The sequence below is a fragment of the Homo sapiens genome, chromosome 8 (assembly GCF_000001405.40).
Source record: "Homo sapiens chromosome 8, GRCh38.p14 Primary Assembly".
Taxonomy (NCBI): domain Eukaryota; kingdom Metazoa; phylum Chordata; class Mammalia; order Primates; family Hominidae; genus Homo; species Homo sapiens.
The window spans coordinates 19,950,905-19,972,209 of NC_000008.11; the positions used below are offsets into that span (position 1 = coordinate 19,950,905).

Consider the following 21,305-nt stretch of genomic DNA (forward strand, 5'->3'; position numbering starts at 1 on the left):
GGAAGGAAGGAATGAAGGAAGGAAGGAAGGGAGGGAGGAAGAAAGGAAGGAAGAACAAAGAAAAGAGAAACACTGGTAGTACAGAAAAACTTCTGATAGAGGCCTAGAGTAAACCCGATTTTCTTGCCTTATCTGAAATAAGCTGCCTGGGGACTCACAGGCACAGACGAAGGGAAATGAGGAGGCTCTCCAGCTGTGTCATGAGACACCCAAAGGAATGCTTAGCATGTAGCATGCATGTGATACATCCCAGCAGGTTGCTTAGACACAGCTATCTTGGAGCTTTGCCACTTGCTTGGATGTCACTGGCTTTAAGTACAGGGTTCCCATTGTGAAGTAGGGGATCCTGGCTGAAACAGGGAGACATTAACATTACATTCTGAAGAAATGACATCAACCTCTCCTGATCTTGAAAGCCAACTACAAAGGGTGCCCAACACCCCAACCTTGAAGGGAGGCGAAGGTGAGTGGGACTGGACCAATTCAACAGGGTTCTGCTCCTAGCCAGGTGCTCCTGCTAGTTTCCTCAAAGACCCACTTTGCATTCAGACCAATCTTTCCTTTTAATAGTATAAATGATCAAAATTTTATTGAATGTCTAAAATATACTTTTTAAATGGGAAGCATGGTGAACCCCAATCTGCCGTTCCTCAACTCAACTCAATGCCTTCCTGGCTTACTTAGATCTGCCTTGGAAGGGACAGACCTGTCTCTGAACACTGTTCTGTTATTTGATTTTTCTATCTGTGCCAATGGGTTTCCAATCAAGTTTGTTTTTTCCATTTCATGCAGGTGTATTGGGCTGATGTATCTATGACAAGTGGTAGGTGGGTATTTTAAGAAAGCTTGTGTCATCATCTTCAGGTAACAGGAATGTATGAGAGTTGGGTGCCAAAACTTGTGGCCGCCCTGTACAAGAGAGAACCAGACTCCAATGTCATTGTGGTGGACTGGCTGTCACGGGCTCAGGAGCATTACCCAGTGTCCGCGGGCTACACCAAACTGGTGGGACAGGATGTGGCCCGGTTTATCAACTGGATGGAGGTAAGACTGGGAGAAGGAGACTTATGTGTCCAAAACAGTGTTTTTGACTGGAGCCAGAAAACCGGCTGTTCTTTCTTCCTTTTCTCTTAGATTTAAATATTTTCTGGGGGCATTCAAATCTTCAGAATCAGCGTGGATATTATTTTATATCCAAAAGCAACATTTTGATAAGAATAGACTATAAGGCCAATAAATAGTCCTGCCCTGCTCTATCGTTTGATATTTTCACAGTGAATAGATCTGCTGAGACCAATAACTAAGTGGGCCCAACAGAAAAAAGCTTGTGATTTTCGGACAGAGGAAAGATGGCATGTTCAGCCAGACCCTTCCCTACCAGTTGGCTGGCCTGTGGACATCTTATCCTCACCTTGACATACCAATCTCTTTCATGAAAATATTAATAGTACTTATTCTTTAGTGTGAAATAGGATGAACGTTTTTGTTGAGCATTGGGAGAGTGATGGAATTGAGCTAGGAAGATGTTGGAAGGGAAGGTGCATAGGATAGAAGGGAACTGAGGTCTGGAGTTCTGACTTAGCTGCAAGAGACCCACTTTTTCACACGATCCCTTGAGAAGTACCTCTGAAAAGTATCTTGGGGTTGGAAAGAAGCTGATACTCTGACCAAGGCAAATTATTTTAACCAGGTAATTGGAAGTAAAAAATAAGCTGTGTTTATTAGACTGATCATAAAAGACAAAAGTTCTTTTCTTGTCTTTTTTGCTGACCAGGCAAATGAACATGGGCAAACGGGATCACCTCCCTGGGGCTCAGGCTTCTCACCTGTTAAATGAGGGGCTGGACCATGTACCTCTGGTCCCTTCCACTGAATGTTTCCTGAGTCTGTCATTGCTTGGCTAACCTTCAATGATAAAGTGATACAGATATTTAGAGTAAGGAATAATGGGAAAATATATACCCATATACTATACATTCAAACATACACACATATACATATATGCATGCATATAAATGTATACGCATATGTATATGTGTATATGTTTGTACGTATAGTATATGGTTATATATGCAAATACATATACATATACAAACATATGCATATATTATATACATAAATAATACTATTTCAGATGCATGGAAAAACTTTGTAATTTAAATCTGCTATTAAAGAAAGAGAAAATCAATTCTGGATTTGTTTACGGAAAAGTGAAACAAAAGAAAAAGACAATTTTAACACTAGAGAATATTTTCTCTCTCTTACCTGTAACACAAAATTAAAATAAGTAGAATTAGTTTTCAGTATTTCCTATATTTGGAAAACAATATTTATATTCATTTTGTTTCTTTTAGTTTTATTTTTGGCAGAACTGTAAGCACCTTCATTTTCTTTTTCTTCCAAAGGAGGAGTTTAACTACCCTCTGGACAATGTCCATCTCTTGGGATACAGCCTTGGAGCCCATGCTGCTGGCATTGCAGGAAGTCTGACCAATAAGAAAGTCAACAGAATTACTGGTAAGAAAGCAATTTCGTTGGTCTTATCATAAGAGGTGAAAAGACTGTCATTCTGAGAGAGAATCAGAACAAATTTTGTTAAATACCCACATGTGTGGTGTTCTTCCCGGAGACATGACCAGCACTTGATTATCTCATTGTAGGGCTCTTTATTAGGGATAAGAAAAAACACAGACGCTCTCACTGGCTTACTATCCACTGGCAATAGCACAGAAATAAAGCATAATTACACACAATGCCTGCAGATTTCTCTGGGAAGCCTGTTTCCTCCCACTCTCAGCTCTGTGTTTTAGTAGTGTAAATGCACATCAGTACTAGGAGAAAAGAAGAAGGACCAATTCCAGAGGCCACTTCGAAAGAAGACCGTCATCTAGGCAAAGGTGTGGCATACACACAGAGAGAAAGAACCCACCACTGTTTATACATCTTCTCGACATATTCAGAAATAATCTACAAAAGGAAATCCAGCCATCCTGAGTGGAAACTGCTGCATAAGGCTAGTTTAAGAGACTCAAATTCATTTTAGAAGGAGCCAAGCCTCCTTTTATGTCTCTCTAAGTAAAGATACCATGACTGTAGAATAGGAGCTAATAAGAATCTAAATAGCTGCCAGTGCATTCAAATGATGAGCAGTGACATGCGAATGTCATACGAATGGAAATTTACAAATCTGTGTTCCTGCTTTTTTCCCTTTTAAGGCCTCGATCCAGCTGGACCTAACTTTGAGTATGCAGAAGCCCCGAGTCGTCTTTCTCCTGATGATGCAGATTTTGTAGACGTCTTACACACATTCACCAGAGGGTCCCCTGGTCGAAGCATTGGAATCCAGAAACCAGTTGGGCATGTTGACATTTACCCGAATGGAGGTACTTTTCAGCCAGGATGTAACATTGGAGAAGCTATCCGCGTGATTGCAGAGAGAGGACTTGGAGGTAAATATTATTTAGAAGCGAATTAAATGTGACTCTTATCCTTAACCCTTATTGACCCAATGTCCTACTCAGTAGCTTCAAAGTATGTAGTTTTCATATACACATTTGGCCAAATTATGTTTCTGAAGAATTCTGCAATGTTCAGCATGACCACCTTAGAGCCAGGCAGACAGCCATTTTATCTTTTATTTACTATACTGTAGGCTACACTGAGCAGTGCACTTACAGTAGCAAGAGAAAAAGGTGGGATTTTAGACAGGAAGACTCCACTGACCTCAATAATGGCATCATAAAATGCTATCTGGCCACATGTTGTCATACCTTGAATGTAGCTGCAAAGCCAATGGAAAGATTTTAGATGTTACTGGAACAGAAGATGTTAATTAGGATAAATCTTCCAAAATGTTCAGAACATAATGTTAGCTTAATGTTTTACTTTAATAATGTTAGCTTGTGTTAAATTTATGATTTTTGTTTGTTTGTTTTTTGAGATAGAGTCTTATTCTATTGCCCAAGCTGGGGTGCAGTCACACAATCACAGGGACTTGCAATGTTGCCCAGGCTGGTCTCAAACTCCTGGCCTCAAGTGATCCTCCTGCCTCAGCCTCCCAAAGTTCTGGGATTGCAGCTGTGAGCCACCACGCCCAGTTTACGATTTATTTTTAAGAGCCCCTTGCATACTTTATAGACATTGGGACCTACCTAGGATATTCTCGTTATTTTTGTGCACGTAATAGAACTTAGAGCATATTGTTACTATTTTCGATTGTCCTAAAAACTTACAAGGAATTCATTCTTATGGCATTGCTGATTATTTCTATGTTCATTTGATATAAAAGAGTGTTAGTAGGGGCAGAACCCTCAATTGTACATAATATCAATGATAAAATACAATTCATTTAACAATTACCCTCTTAAGATGTGGTTTCTAGAAATACAAATTGTCCCTAACTTACAGTTTTCCAACTTTACAATTGGGCTGTAACACCATTTTAAGTTGAGAAGCACGTGATGGTTTGACTTAAAACTTTTTGACATTATGATGGGTTTTGGGGGTATTAAGTGCATTTTGACTTACAGTATTTTTGACTTATGAAGAATTTATTGTAAGGCAAGGGGCAGGTATATGTTTCTAGAAGCACCTAGAAGTGTTAGACACTTTCAATGTAAGAGAAGGATGAGATAAACAAGGAAATCAACCTCCACCTTGGAGGCTTATTACAGCTTCATAAACATACTCATAAATATAAGAAGCACAAAAGTCAAAAATTCCCTGTGAACTTGCAACTTTCACTCTCTTGAAGGTGGGTGGGCCGCTACCACCAAGAATATCTCCTGAAATAGGGCCTACAATCATAAATGCACAGGACTATATCCTTGGGTGATTCTACTCTAACACCACATCTCACCTATTTTAGACATGCCAAATGAAACACTCTTTGTGAATTTCTGCCGAGATACAATCTTGGTGTCTCTTTTTTACCCAGATGTGGACCAGCTAGTGAAGTGCTCCCACGAGCGCTCCATTCATCTCTTCATCGACTCTCTGTTGAATGAAGAAAATCCAAGTAAGGCCTACAGGTGCAGTTCCAAGGAAGCCTTTGAGAAAGGGCTCTGCTTGAGTTGTAGAAAGAACCGCTGCAACAATCTGGGCTATGAGATCAATAAAGTCAGAGCCAAAAGAAGCAGCAAAATGTACCTGAAGACTCGTTCTCAGATGCCCTACAAAGGTAGGCTGGAGACTGTTGTAAATAAGGAAACCAAGGAGTCCTATTTCATCATGCTCACTGCATCACATGTACTGATTCTGTCCATTGGAACAGAGATGATGACTGGTGTTACTAAACCCTGAGCCCTGGTGTTTCTGTTGATAGGGGGTTGCATTGATCCATTTGTCTGAGGCTTCTAATTCCCATTGTCAGCAAGGTCCCAGTGCTCAGTGTGGGATTTGCAGCCTTGCTCGCTGCCCTCCCCTGTAAATGTGGCCATTAGCATGGGCTAGGCTATCAGCACAGAGCTCAGAGCTCATTTGGAACCATCCACCTCGGGTCAACAAACTATAACCCTTGTGCCAAATCCAGCCTACTTCCTGCTTTTGTAAATAGTTTTTTTAAAACTTTTAAGTTCAGGGGTACGTATGTAGGTTTGCTAAAAAGGTAAACTTGTGACATGGGAGTTTGTTGTCCAGAATATTCCATCACCCAGGTATTAAGCTTAGTACCCATTAGTTACTTTTCCTGAAGCTCTCCCTCCTCCCACCCTCTGGGAGGCCCCAGTGTCTGTTGTTCCCCTCTATGTGCTCATGCAAAGTTTTATTAGGACACAGCCACACACATTCATTACCATATTGTCAAAGGCTGGTTTCATGCCACCATAACAGAGTTGATAGCCCACAGAGCCTAAAATATTTACTCCCTGGCCCTTTACAGAATGTTCACAACTTACATAAAGGCAAGGACCATCTGTCTTATTTATTTATTTATTTAATTTGAGATGAAGTCTAGCTTTCTCCTAGGCTGGAGGAGAGGGGCATGATCTTGGCTCACCACAACCTCTGCCTCCCGGGTTCAAATGATTCCCCTGCCTCAGCCTCCGGAGTAGCTGGGATAACAGGCATGCACCATCATGCCCAGCTAATTTTTGTATTTTTAGTAGAGAGGGGGTTTCACCGTGTTGACCAGGCTGGTCTCGAACTGCTGACCTCAGGTGATCTGCCCTCCTTGGCCTCATCTGTCTTTTTAAATGCAACTATTCCTGGAAGGCAAGAATATCTCACACCTTCTAAGATACTGCCATTTTGCCAGGAGTTTGTTTCACACTTGAATTTCAAGCTTGGCCTCTTGTTTAGAGGCAGACCTAAAGGAATGGTCGGAAAATGAGAGAGGAGGTCTTCGGATAAATCCGGTGAGAGGGACCAACTTCAGGAAGGGTGGCTTTTGTGGAATCCAGATGGAAACCTGAGGGAAGGGATGATATTAAAGAACAGTGGCCCCAGGTAAAACATATGGCACCCATGTGTAAGGTGATTCTTAGAATCTGTAGAGGTGTCTTTCGTGGTATAGAGGTTGAGGCACCTGTGCTTCAAGGAAACCTTAACTCTTCAAAATCAGGCAATGCGTATGAGGTAAAGAGAGGACTGTGGGACCATAATCTTGAAGACACAGACAGGCTTCACTCATCCCTGCCTCCTGCACCAGTGGGTTCAAGGCTCTGTCAGTGTCCCCTAGGGGCACCTCACCACTCCCAGCTTCTTCAGCTCTGGCCTGTCCTGCTGCCTGCAAGGGTTTTGCTTAATTCTCAATTCAATGTCTCTTCATCTTTTAGCAGCTGTGGGGTTTTGTTGTTGTTCTTCTGTTTTTGCTTAGTATCTGACTACTTTTTAATTATAAAAAGAGATGTATCTAAACAAAATAGAGATTGTTATCAGAAGTTCACAACATTTATTAAAAATTTTTTCACCTGGACAAGAGTCTAAAGCAGCATAAAAATATGGTCTGCTATATTCTAAACCATCAGTCTTAAGAGATCTGTGTCTCAGCTTAAGAGAAAATACATTTAATAGACAGTAACACAAATAAGAAAAAAATCTGACCAAGGATAGTGGGATATAGAAGAAAAAACATTCCAAGAATTATTTTATTTATTTATTTATTTATTTATTTATTTATTTATTTATTTATTTTTGAGACACAGTCTCGCTCAGTTACCCAGGCTGGAGTGCAGCGGCGCAATCTTAGCTCACTGCAACCTCTGCTTTCCGGTTCAAGCGATTCTCCTGCCTCAGCCTCCTGAGTAACTGGGATTACAGGCACCCGCCACCACGCCCAACTAATTTCTGTATTTTTCTTAGTAGAAACAGGGTTTCACCATGTTGGCCAAGCTAGTCTCAAACTCCTGACCTCAGGTGATTCACCCACCAAGGCCTCCCAAAGTGCTGGGATTACAGGCATGAGCCACCATGCCTGGCCTCCAAGAACTCTTTTTTCCTCCATCATCATGGTTCTATTTTAGTCCTGCTGCCTTTCCTTTTAACCTCTCCCCAGGCCCATTTGCTCAGGGTTTTTGGTAGAGACCAGAGGAGGGGCAGGGAGGAGATATAGAAGTTCAACTACCTGCTTCCAGAGGCTGTCCCTAGTATAGAATACTTTAGGGGCTGGCTTTACAAGGCAGTCCTTGTGGCCTCACTGATGGCTCAATGAAATAAGTTCTTTTTTAAAAAAAATTTTATTTATTTCCATAGGTTATTGGGGGAACAGGTGGTGTTTGGTTACATGAGTAAGTTCTTTAGTAGTGATTTGTGAGATTTTGGTGTGCCCATTACGGAATGGAAAAATCAACGAAATAAGTTCTATGATGCACCTACTAGACACCTAATCTGCGCTAGATGGTGGGGGAATTAAGAGCATGGGCATGATCCTGTGACCGGAAGCCCGCTTACAGTCAGGGTGGAGGACAGACCTACTCATGAAACAAACACAGTGACATATAGTGACACAGAAGCAAATGTCAAATATGCTTGCTCCAGATGCTAAGGCACAAGATGGCCAAGGATGGCGGAGTTCATGGAGAAAGCATCATGAGTGTTTTGGCCTTCTGATTTGATCTCCCTAGCACCCCTCAAAGATGGCTACTTCCTAATGCTGCTTGGCAATTCAGACACATTTGGGTTTTTCCTATGCATATAACCACACTTTTCTGAAAGGGAGTAGAATTCAAGGTCTGCATTTTCTAGGTATGAACACTGTGCATGATGAAGTCTTTCCAAGCCACACCAGTGGTTCCATGTGTGTGCACTTCCGGTTTGAGTGCTAGTGAGATACTTCTGTGGTTCTGAATTGCCTGACTATTTGGGGTTGTGATATTTTCATAAAGATTGATCAACATGTTCGAATTTCCTCCCCAACAGTCTTCCATTACCAAGTAAAGATTCATTTTTCTGGGACTGAGAGTGAAACCCATACCAATCAGGCCTTTGAGATTTCTCTGTATGGCACCGTGGCCGAGAGTGAGAACATCCCATTCACTCTGTGAGTAGCACAGGGGGGCGGTCATCATGGCACCAGTCCCTCTCCTGCCATAACCCTTGGTCTGAGCAGCAGAAGCAGAGAGCGATGCCTAGAAAACAAGTCTTTAGTTAAAAAAATCAGAATTTCAAAATTGAGGTCTTTCCTCTATTTGATATTGAGAAAAAAATGCTTCAAATTGGCCATTTTATTTTCACTTACTAGTTATATTTTTTTATTTATCATCTTATATCTGTTTATTTCTTTTATAAAGCTGCTGTTAAACAATATAATTAAACTATCTCAAAAGGTTTGACATTAAAGAAAATGAGCAATGGTAACAGGAAACCACTCTATAGATGTACATATAATATGTACAGAAAATATAAGTAGTAAGAAGTCCATGACAAAGTGTTAGCTCTTTTTTTTTTTTTTTTTTTTTTTTTTTTTGAGATGGAGTCTCTCTCTATTGCCCAGGCTGGAGTGCAGTGATTCGATCTCAGCTCACTGCAACCTCTACCTCCCGAGTTCAAACAATTCTTCTGTCTCAGCCTCCCGAGTAGCTGGGGCTGCAGGTGCCCACCACCATGCCCAGCTAATTTTTGTATTTTTAGTAGCGACAGGGTCTCACCATGTTGGCCAAGCTGGTCTTGAATTCCTGATCTCAGGTGATCCACCCGCCTCGGCCTCCCAAAGTGCTGGGATTACAGGTGTGAGCCACCATGCCCAGCCTACCCTTTACTACTAATCAAAGAAATAAAAGTAAGGCAACTTGATACTTTTACAATTACTAGATGAACAAATCTTTAAAAATAGCCAGTGCAGACAAGGTGGTGAAGCAGAACATGCGAACCTACCATGCATCATTCACGGCTAGAACCCTCCAGGTGCGGAAGGTAGTATTTTAATAACTTTCCATAGCTACAAAATATTATTACATAGAAGGGAGTGATTTTTTTCTAATATTTATCCTAAAGAAATAGTCAACAAACATTTTTAAAAACATCAATTACAGTCGTACCTATACTAGCATAAATTAGAAACCCAGTATCCAACATTGAGGCAGTGGGTAAATGAATCGTGGTTTATCAAGTCATTAAAATCAATCTAGCCTTTAAAAACTATAATTGTAGGAAACCCAGGAAAACATAGTAAAAAATGGAATATAAAATCTGAAGAGAATAAAGAATAGAGAATCGTATGTGTGCTATGATTGTAGCTAAATAATGTTCAAGTATCAACACAAATTGAAAAGGAATACATGAAAATGAAAATTATATTTCTGAATGATTGACTTCAGGATTTTCTTTTAGAATTGTATTAAATAGTTCATGTCATTAGGATAAATGCTGGAATGTGGATATAATTTAAAATATACTAAATGCCATCGACCTTCATTTTGAGTTCTTTGTTGGACATTTTTGTGCATTTTTAAAATATCCCCTAAATAATAAAGCTATTTATATTTGGAGAGGAGAAAAAAAAGTGGGGGGCAGGGAGAGCTGATCTCTATAACTAACCAAATTTATTGCTTTTTTGTTTAGGCCTGAAGTTTCCACAAATAAGACCTACTCCTTCCTAATTTACACAGAGGTAGATATTGGAGAACTACTCATGTTGAAGCTCAAATGGAAGAGTGATTCATACTTTAGCTGGTCAGACTGGTGGAGCAGTCCCGGCTTCGCCATTCAGAAGATCAGAGTAAAAGCAGGAGAGACTCAGAAAAAGTAATTAAATGTATTTTTCTTCCTTCACTTTAGACCCCCACCTGATGTCAGGACCTAGGGGCTGTATTTCAGGGGCCTTCACAATTCAGGGAGAGCTTTAGGAAACCTTGTATTTATTACTGTATGATGTAGATTTTCTTTAGGAGTCTTCTTTTATTTTCTTATTTTTGGGGGGCAGGGGGGGGGAAGTGACAGTATTTTTGTATTTCATGTAAGGAAAACATAAGCCCTGAATCGCTCACAGTTATTCAGTGAGAGCTGGGATTAGAAGTCAGGAATCTCAGCTTCTCATTTGGCACTGTTTCTTGTAAGTACAAAATAGTTAGGGAACAAACCTCCGAGATGCTACCTGGATAATCAAAGATTCAAACCAACCTCTTCAAGAAGGGTGAGATTCCAAGATAATCTCAACCTGTCTCCGCAGCCCCACCCATGTGTACCCATAAAATGAATTACACAGAGATCGCTATAGGATTTAAAGCTTTTATACTAAATGTGCTGGGATTTTGCAAACTATAGTGTGCTGTTATTGTTAATTTAAAAAAACTCTAAGTTAGGATTGACAAATTATTTCTCTTTAGTCATTTGCTTGTATCACCAAAGAAGCAAACAAACAAACAAAAAAAAAAAGAAAAAGATCTTGGGGATGGAAATGTTATAAAGAATCTTTTTTACACTAGCAATGTCTAGCTGAAGGCAGATGCCCTAATTCCTTAATGCAGATGCTAAGAGATGGCAGAGTTGATCTTTTATCATCTCTTGGTGAAAGCCCAGTAACATAAGACTGCTCTAGGCTGTCTGCATGCCTGTCTATCTAAATTAACTAGCTTGGTTGCTGAACACCAGGTTAGGCTCTCAAATTACCCTCTGATTCTGATGTGGCCTGAGTGTGACAGTTAATTATTGGGAATATCAAAACAATTACCCAGCATGATCATGTATTATTTAAACAGTCCTGACAGAACTGTACCTTTGTGAACAGTGCTTTTGATTGTTCTACATGGCATATTCACATCCATTTTCTTCCACAGGGTGATCTTCTGTTCTAGGGAGAAAGTGTCTCATTTGCAGAAAGGAAAGGCACCTGCGGTATTTGTGAAATGCCATGACAAGTCTCTGAATAAGAAGTCAGGCTGGTGAGCATTCTGGGCTAAAGCTGACTGGGCATCCTGAGCTTGCACCCTAAGGGAGGCAGCTTCATGCATTCCTCTTCACCCCATCACCAGCAGCTTGCCCTGACTCATGTGATCAAAGCATTCAATCAGTCTTTCTTAGTCCTTCTGCATATGTATCAAATGGGTCTGTTGCTTTATGCAATACTTCCTCTTTTTTTCTTTCTCCTCTTGTTTCTCCCAGCCCGGACCTTCAACCCAGGCACACATTTTAGGTTTTATTTTACTCCTTGAACTACCCCTGAATCTTCACTTCTCCTTTTTTCTCTACTGCGTCTCTGCTGACTTTGCAGATGCCATCTGCAGAGCATGTAACACAAGTTTAGTAGTTGCCGTTCTGGCTGTGGGTGCAGCTCTTCCCAGGATGTATTCAGGGAAGTAAAAAGATCTCACTGCATCACCTGCAGCCACATAGTTCTTGATTCTCCAAGTGCCAGCATACTCCGGGACACACAGCCAACAGGGCTGCCCCAAGCACCCATCTCAAAACCCTCAAAGCTGCCAAGCAAACAGAATGAGAGTTATAGGAAACTGTTCTCTCTTCTATCTCCAAACAACTCTGTGCCTCTTTCCTACCTGACCTTTAGGGCTAATCCATGTGGCAGCTGTTAGCTGCATCTTTCCAGAGCGTCAGTACTGAGAGGACACTAAGCATGTGACCTTCACTACTCCTGTTCTGAATTCCAGGAATATGCCCTTTTCAACCCTCCACACATCCCCTGCCAGACAGCAAGTGCTAATGGGTTACAGGAACAAAGGGGAGAAATATTAGATCATGTCATACAAGCCAGTGACACAAGAAATGAAGGGAAAGGCTAGACACAGTGTCATCTGGAAACAGGAAAAGCAATTGCTTTTGGTTTGTTCTTTTCCTAGTTTGCATTTGGGACAAATGTATAGAATAAGAATTGCCTTCATGCCTGCAATCCCAGCACTTTGGGAGGCTGAGGCAGGTGGATCACCTGAGGTCAGGAGTTTGAGACCAGCCTGGCCAACGTGGCGAAACCACCTCTCTACTAAAAATATAAAAATTAGCTGGGTGTGGCGGCACATGCCTGTAATCCCAGCTACTCGGCAGGCTGAGGCGGGAGAATTGCTTGAACCGGGGAGGCAGAGGTTGCAGTGAGATGAGATCGCGCCATTATATTCCAGCCTGGGCAACAGAGAAAGACTCCATCTCAAAAAAAAAAAAAACATGCCTATTAGGAAAAGTATATTAAAGACCCTATGTGTAACATCTTTAATGTTTTTAAATTCTACTTTATAATAGATTTTATACATGTTTACTATAAATAGATTAGGAAAAATAAGCAAAAATAAAATAAAATCACTGTGACCATATCACTCAGAGACAACCCCAATTAACGTTTTTATTTATATTCTTTCGGACTTTATATATACATAATATTTATATGTTTTTCGTCCTTTACAAAAATAGAATTATGGTGTATATACTCTGAATGACTAGATGAGAACATCTGGATCAAAAGCATTAATGTAAGAGCATTCAGGATAAACTCAAAATGGAGAATAGTTAGTGGTATTGAGCCAGGCAAAATAACGCAATTCTTATCTAACTGGAGACTTTTCTTCTAAGAGGTTATTACGTTGTTTTTCCTCATCACAAATCTGAGGCAATATCATACTTTCTTCAGTTCTTAGAAAGAGACTTTTAGATGAAGTTTTTTTTGTTTGTTTTGGTTTTTTTTTTCTTGAGATGGAGTTTTGCTCTTGCTGCCCAGGCTGGAGTGTAGTGGCTCGATCTCAGCTCACTGCAACCTCCACCTCCTGGGTTCAAGCAATTCTCCTGCCTCAGCCTCCCAAGTAGCTGGGATTACACGTGTCCGCCACCACACCTGGCTAATTTCGTATTTTTAGTAGAGAAAGGGTTTCACCATGTTGGTCAGGCTGGTCTTGAACTCCTAACCTCAGGTTATCCACCTGCCTCGGCCTCCCAAAGTGCTGGGATTATAGGTGTGAGTCACCACACCCGGCCCTAGATGCAGTTTTATACATGCATTTGTATTACACATAAATAGCATGCATATTCTGCCAGAGCATCTACAACTTTAAATCTACATGTGAATGTGAAAATAAAACCTCATTAAATTAGTAAATAACTCTAGCTGCTTGTAAAGCACGTCCAGTCGTATTTTTTATATGTTACAAGACTTTATCTGAGAAAGCCTAATGAAGCATTCCTTGTCTGATTATAGGATTACTGACAGAACAGTTATTTAGACAGAGAATGTTCAGATGCGTTTTATTTTTATTTTTTACTTTTATTTATTTTTGAGACAGTCTCGTTCTGTTGCCCAGGCTAGAATGTGGTGGCGTGATCTCGGCTCAATGCAACTCTGCCTCCCGGGTTCAAGTGATTCTTGTGCCTCAGCCTGACAAGTAGCTGGGATTATAGGTGCCCGTTACCATGCCCAGCTAATTTTTCTGTTTTTAGTAGAGACGGAGTTTCACCATATTGGCCAGGCTGGTCATTGAACTCCTAACCTCAGGTGATGTGCCTGTCTCAGCCTCCCAATGTGCTGGGATTACAGGCATGAGCCACAGCACCCAGCCAGATGCATTTTTAAAAACGTACCTGAACTTTATCTAGGAGGTAATTATAAATTAGACTAATAATCTTCTACAGTTTCTTTCTTCTGTGATTAAAATCAATCAAATCAAAGATTCTCTTTCTCACACCTTCTGCTAACTCCTCAGAAACCTCATATCACAAGAAATGAAATGGAACAGGCCTTTCGTTTGATACATTTTAGAATAAGAAATCCTCTAAATTTAGAAGTCATTTGGCCCAGTCCTCCAAAAATGATGCACCTTATTGGGACGGGGCTAAATAGTTGCTCCAGTGTCTTCCATTCCTACAAACCTGCCATTCTCTGATCCATTATACACATCTCCCCTGGGTTTATTCTCACAACCTTTGTTCTGAAATTCCATTTGAAGGCTTTTTCCATCCTAAAACCAGTGGGGGACAGGCGGGAATTGTAAAACACTCAGAAGATAATAAATTGCCCTTTTTCCTGTGCTTTTTCTCAGAAACTGGGCGAATCTACAGAACAAAGAACGGCATGTGAATTCTGTGAAGAATGAAGTGGAGGAAGTAACTTTTACAAAACATACCCAGTGTTTGGGGTGTTTCAAAAGTGGATTTTCCTGAATATTAATCCCAGCCCTACCCTTGTTAGTTATTTTAGGAGACAGTCTCAAGCACTAAAAAGTGGCTAATTCAATTTATGGGGTATAGTGGCCAAATAGCACATCCTCCAACGTTAAAAGACAGTGGATCATGAAAAGTGCTGTTTTGTCCTTTGAGAAAGAAATAATTGTTTGAGCGCAGAGTAAAATAAGGCTCCTTCATGTGGCGTATTGGGCCATAGCCTATAATTGGTTAGAACCTCCTATTTTAATTGGAATTCTGGATCTTTCGGACTGAGGCCTTCTCAAACTTTACTCTAAGTCTCCAAGAATACAGAAAATGCTTTTCCGCGGCACGAATCAGACTCATCTACACAGCAGTATGAATGATGTTTTAGAATGATTCCCTCTTGCTATTGGAATGTGGTCCAGACGTCAACCAGGAACATGTAACTTGGAGAGGGACGAAGAAAGGGTCTGATAAACACAGAGGTTTTAAACAGTCCCTACCATTGGCCTGCATCATGACAAAGTTACAAATTCAAGGAGATATAAAATCTAGATCAATTAATTCTTAATAGGCTTTATCGTTTATTGCTTAATCCCTCTCTCCCCCTTCTTTTTTGTCTCAAGATTATATTATAATAATGTTCTCTGGGTAGGTGTTGAAAATGAGCCTGTAATCCTCAGCTGACACATAATTTGAATGGTGCAGAAAAAAAAAAAGAAACCGTAATTTTATTATTAGATTCTCCAAATGATTTTCATCAATTTAAAATCATTCAATATCTGACAGTTACTCTTCAGTTTTAGGCTTACCTTGGTCATGCTTCAGTTGTACTTCCAGTGCGTCTCTTTTGTTCCTGGCTTTGACATGAAAAGATAGGTTTGAGTTCAAATTTTGCATTGTGTGAGCTTCTACAGATTTTAGACAAGGACCGTTTTTACTAAGTAAAAGGGTGGAGAGGTTCCTGGGGTGGATTCCTAAGCAGTGCTTGTAAACCATCGCGTGCAATGAGCCAGATGGAGTACCATGAGGGTTGCTATTTGTTGTTTTTAACAACTAATCAAGAGTGAGTGAACAACTATTTATAAACTAGATCTCCTATTTTTCAGAATGCTCTTCTACGTATAAATATGAAATGATAAAGATGTCAAATATCTCAGAGGCTATAGCTGGGAACCCGACTGTGAAAGTATGTGATATCTGAACACATACTAGAAAGCTCTGCATGTGTGTTGTCCTTCAGCATAATTCGGAAGGGAAAACAGTCGATCAAGGGATGTATTGGAACATGTCGGAGTAGAAATTGTTCCTGATGTGCCAGAACTTCGACCCTTTCTCTGAGAGAGATGATCGTGCCTATAAATAGTAGGACCAATGTTGTGATTAACATCATCAGGCTTGGAATGAATTCTCTCTAAAAATAAAATGATGTATGATTTGTTGTTGGCATCCCCTTTATTAATTCATTAAATTTCTGGATTTGGGTTGTGACCCAGGGTGCATTAACTTAAAAGATTCACTAAAGCAGCACATAGCACTGGGAACTCTGGCTCCGAAAAACTTTGTTATATATATCAAGGATGTTCTGGCTTTACATTTTATTTATTAGCTGTAAATACATGTGTGGATGTGTAAATGGAGCTTGTACATATTGGAAAGGTCATTGTGGCTATCTGCATTTATAAATGTGTGGTGCTAACTGTATGTGTCTTTATCAGTGATGGTCTCACAGAGCCAACTCACTCTTATGAAATGGGCTTTAACAAAACAAGAAAGAAACGTACTTAACTGTGTGAAGAAATGGAATCAGCTTTTAATAAAATTGACAACATTTTATTACCACACTAAGTCATTATTTTGTATCATTTTTAAAGTAAATTTATTCTTAGGTCAGATTCACTCAGCATATTTTGACTAAGTAACCACTGTACTTAGTAAACCGAAGAGCTTCTGAGAATTATAGTGTACCTTATAGATATTTTTAACATTTATATTTGTATAAAGCTAAAGAAAGCCTTACATATCCTTTAAACTGACTATAGAAGAAAATGATACAGAATTTTGCCTGCATAAAGTACACAGGACTATTCTTGCCTACAATATGCTTTTTCACAAGCAAAATGTTAGACTAATATAAGGCATCTTTGGCCATTTTATAGTGTACATCATCTCTATTTCTGAGGCCTCATTGTTAGCTGTAACGCAAGTAGCATTTGTGCAATAAAATGAACTATTTGGGATGGGAGGGTACATTTTTTAGAACTTTGCTTTGGGTTGCCTTGATAATTAATAGCATATAGTCCATTTATGCAGCTAAGTAGGGATTGCTTCTTAGTACAGTCAGGAAGAATTTAGCCCAGAAAACAATTATTTCAATGGCCACTGACCCAAACTTCCAGGCTGAAGAGCAATGGCGTGATCATGGCTCACTGCACCTCCACCTCCCAGGCTCAAGTGATTCTCCTGCCTCAGCCTCCCAAGTAGATGGTACTACAAGCACACGCCACTGCACCCAGCTAATTTTTGTATTTTTTGTAGAGATGGGGGTTTCACCATGTTGCCCAGGCTGGTCTTAAATTCCTGGCCTCAAGTGTCTGCCCCCCTTGGCCTCCCAAAGTGCTGGAATTACAGGCATGAGCCACCATGTCCAGCCTTGACCCAAACTTTTATTGTCAGTTAGCTATTGGGGCTTCTGGAGTTTGGGTCTCCCCTGACAGGAGGGGGCTCCCCAGTTCACACTTGGCCACTGCCCATCAATTCCTGTTGATATGATCAACAAGATAGACAATTGCAAATGTTGCTGAGGATGTGGAGAAGTGTGAACCTGTGTAAGTGGCTGATGGGAATGTAAAATGGCACAGCCACTATGGAGAACAATTTGGTAGTATTTCCAAAGTTAAGCATAGAGTTTAACCCATATGACCCAGCAATTCCACTCCTAGATATATACCCAAGAGAAATGAAAACACAGATCCACAAAGATTTGCACACACAGGTTCATAGCAGCATTAATCAGATTAGTCCCAAAGTGGACAACCCAAATGTCCATGAACTTGTGAAAGAGATAAGCAAAATGTGACAAATTCACATAATAAAATATTATTCAGAAGTAAAAAGAACAAGCAGCAGATATATGATACAACACGATGAGCCTTGAAAACGTTTAGCCATATGAAAGAAACCAGATGCAAAATGGAACCATGGGCTTAGGGGAGGAGAACGGCACAATGGTGTAAAAGTTGCAGAGAGGAACAAAAAGGCTACCTGCCTCGCTCCCAGGCCAAGTAACACAGGAGGAAAGAAAATATCCACATATGCGAGGGCTAAAGGAAAGAGGTGTTCTCAAGCTGAAGCAGGAGGTGGGACTCAACTCTGGAGGTGGGCCTCACACACTGTACCAAATTGAGGACTAGCTAAAACAGGGATGGGGGTGAAAGCACCTTTTCGTAAGACATGCCCACCATTGTCCCGTTCTCCTCCCTTAAGCCCTTGTCTTGCTCATGTCAGCAAGCTTATTGCCATCTATTCTTCCTAGTTACAGACATCTGTGGAGCTCTGAGTTTTTTGCCTAATCATTATTTTAGAACCTGGTTCACTCTCTCTCCCTTCTACACTAGTTCTGTCATTATTATTACTGATTTCAGTACCTCTGAGGTGATAGATTTTATTTTCCAATGGCAGCCACAACACTACCTCCCATTCTATATGTTCCCCTGCAATGTTGCCTTGACATCCCTATTAAGAGTTGGAATCTAGTCACCCCGCTTTTCTAGTCTCCCCACTCCTTTGAACTTGTGTGGGCCCTAAGATTGCTTCTACTAGTAGAATAGAACTAAAATGACCCTGGACCAGTGTGGGGTGCAGCCCTTAACTGGCCTGGCAGCTTCTGCTTTTGGTTCCTTGGGGCACTCACTCTTGGGAAACTTCCCTTTGGAACTCAGCATTCATGATGCGGGAAGTTGAAGCCACATGAAAAGAGCATATGGTGGTTCTCTCAGCTCCCAGCCAACAACCAGTCTCGACTGTCAGCCATGTGAGTGAGGCATCTTGGACCTCCGGCCAGTTGAGTGTTCAGAAGACTGCAGCTCGAGCTGGCATCTGGATGCAACCACATGAGAGACGCTCTGCCCAGCCAAGCCCAGCCAACTCACAGTACTATGAGAGATACTAATAACTTGTTGTTGTTGTTGTTGTTGTTGTTTTTATTATTAAACTTTAAGTTTTAGCATACACGTGCACAACGTGCAGGTTAGTTACATATGTATACCTGGGCCATGTTGGTGTGCTGCACCCAGTAACTCGTCATTTAACATTAGGTATATCTCCAAATGCTATCCCTCCCCCCTCCCTAAGTTTTTAGGAGTTTGCTTTGCAACGATAGATAGTTGAAACATCTGGATGATGCATCCAGTATTCTGGCTTCTCACTGCCTTTACCTCCTCTCTCCCATGGCCTTGTCTTCTAAATCTACCTTTACATAGAAACATTCAGTCACGTGCTATACTATATCATGCCATTACTAATAACTCATAAACTCAATTTCAACTTCTCCCTTCTTTGACTACCACATGCTATCTTTTTACTTTAATCAGTCTAGTGCTCTCAGTTCAACAGCTCCTCAACTGCCCCAGGACCTCCAATACATTGATCTATTCATCCCTCATTTCCTTTCTTAGCCTCACTTTGATCCGTACTCAGCTTAGATTTCAAGGCCCAAGGTTATTATTACTCCAGTGCCAAAACTCTAAAGAGCTGTGCTTCTCTCACCCTCAACTGAGCTCTTCAGGGCAAAACATAAACCCTGAATATATCCAAATTGCCACTCAACTCCATAACTGCATCTGAGCAGCAGAATGTGATAGGTAACACACCCATGCACACACAGCCCTGCTGCCCCTCACTTTACCGCCTCACTCCATGGCTCCCTTACAGCTGCCCAGCAGTCCTCCTACATTTCCCTGGTCCAAACAGGCCTCACTCTCCAAGATGATGATTTAATCTCAGACCTCTAATAACTTCTCACCTCTCTCTACACTCACCTGATTGCCTTATTTACTGAGAATACAGGGGCAATCATAAAGCTCTATGTGCTTCACTCTTAAATCTATCCATCTCCCTGCTCCTGTGTCCATACACTCTGTTTTCCCTTCTGATATAAGAGACGTTTTCCCTCTTTCTACCTCTGACCAATTCTTGCATAAAAAGATCTTGAAGGAGAAGGAAGTCCTTTTCTCCTACTCAAAGACATTGCTCTGGAGTTGTTCCTGTTCTCTCCTGCTCCTCAGTTTTCACCTCCTACTGGATCATTCTAACAGCAAACAAAAATGTATACTTCCCACTTAAAAACAAATTAAAACTTGCTTGAACCCACTTCCATCTCCACCTTCCTTTTTTTTTTTTTGTGATAGAGTCTTACTCTTTTGCCCAGGCTGGAGTGCAGTAGCACGATCTCAGCTCACTGCAACCTCTACCTCCCTGATTCAAGCAATTCTCCTGCCTCAGCCTCCTGAGAAGGTGGGATTGCAGGCATGTTGCCACCACACCCGGCTAATTTTTTTCGTATTTTAAGTAGAGATGGGGTTTTGCCATGTTGGCCAGGCCGGGCTCGAACTCCTGACCTCAAGTGATCCATCCATCTTGGCTTCCCAAAGTGCTGCGATTATAGGTGTGAGCCACCACACCCGGCCTTATGCTCCTCTTTATAGCAATTGCTTAATCTCTACTAATGGTTTCTACTTCCCCTCGCAATCCTCGAACAAAGTCTGATCAAGCCACTTTCAATCTACCAGACTTATTGTTTCTAAGCTTACTGATGAATACCATGGCAGTAAACCCAATGGTCGATTCTCCTTTGTCTTCTTACTTGACTTCCCTGTGTAATTTGAGCCAGGTTGCTTTTCCCTTGAAACGATTTTTCACTGGTCTCTTAGGACTCCACTGTTTGCTACCCTCTTTCTCCCATTAGCTATTCCTTCTCACTCTTTGTTGATTCCTGCTCATCTTCCTAACCCTTAACGTGTTGAGTGCTCCAGTGCTGAATCTTCAGTGTCTCAACTTCATTTATATCTATTCACAAGGTGATACTCAGTTGGCTTTAAACACCACACAGCTGCTGATGAATCCAAAATTTACATCTCCATCTTGTACCTCGCTTCTAAATTTCAGACTTTTTAATATATCCACTTGTCTATCAAATATCTCCACTTGGCTTTCTAATAGGTTTTGGGAACCTATCATGTTATAAAACATTGTTATCCACCAGTTTTCTCCTCCCAGTTAAAAGAATTTCTTCCTTCCAGTTGCTCAGGAGGAAATCTTGGAATCCATACTTGAGTTCTTTCTTCCGCAATACATAATCAATCAGTCAAAAAAACTGGCTTGGTGTCATGGCTCATGCCTGTAATCCCAGCACTTTGGGAGGCCTGGGCAGGAGGGTCACTTGAGCCCAGGAATTTGAGACCAGCCCAGGCAACATGGCAAGACGCCATCTCTACTAAAAAAAAAAAAAAAAAAAAAAACACTTAGCTGGGCATAGTGATGCATACTTGTATTTTCAGGAGACTGAGGTTTGAGCATAGCTTGAGCCCAGGAGGTTGAGGCTGCAGCGAGCTTTTATTAGCGAAAAAGCACTCTAGCCTGGGTGACAGAGAAAGACCCTGTCTCAAAAAAAAAAAAAAAAAAAAATTCTATCAGCTTCACTTAAAAATATATCCAGAATCTGACTGCATTTTACCATTTTTAATGTTATGCCATCAGGTTTCACTGGATTATTTCAATAGTCTCTCCTGGTTTCT

The 21,305-nt window shown here is 40.9% G+C and overlaps 1 protein-coding gene across 1 annotated transcript in view; it reads left to right on the forward strand.

Annotated features, from left to right (window-relative positions):
• LPL (lipoprotein lipase) overlaps positions 1 to 16,355 on the forward strand; it is a 28,007-nt gene extending 11,652 nt beyond the window's left edge. The window contains exons 3-10 of the mRNA NM_000237.3: positions 865 to 1,044; positions 2,406 to 2,517; positions 3,216 to 3,449; positions 4,937 to 5,179; positions 8,356 to 8,476; positions 9,997 to 10,179; positions 11,211 to 11,315; positions 14,406 to 16,355. Of these exons, the coding sequence (NP_000228.1) occupies positions 865 to 1,044; positions 2,406 to 2,517; positions 3,216 to 3,449; positions 4,937 to 5,179; positions 8,356 to 8,476; positions 9,997 to 10,179; positions 11,211 to 11,315; position 14,406 (1,179 nt within the window). The 3' untranslated portion in view covers positions 14,407 to 16,355. The remainder of the gene's footprint in view (positions 1 to 864; positions 1,045 to 2,405; positions 2,518 to 3,215; positions 3,450 to 4,936; positions 5,180 to 8,355; positions 8,477 to 9,996; positions 10,180 to 11,210; positions 11,316 to 14,405) is intronic.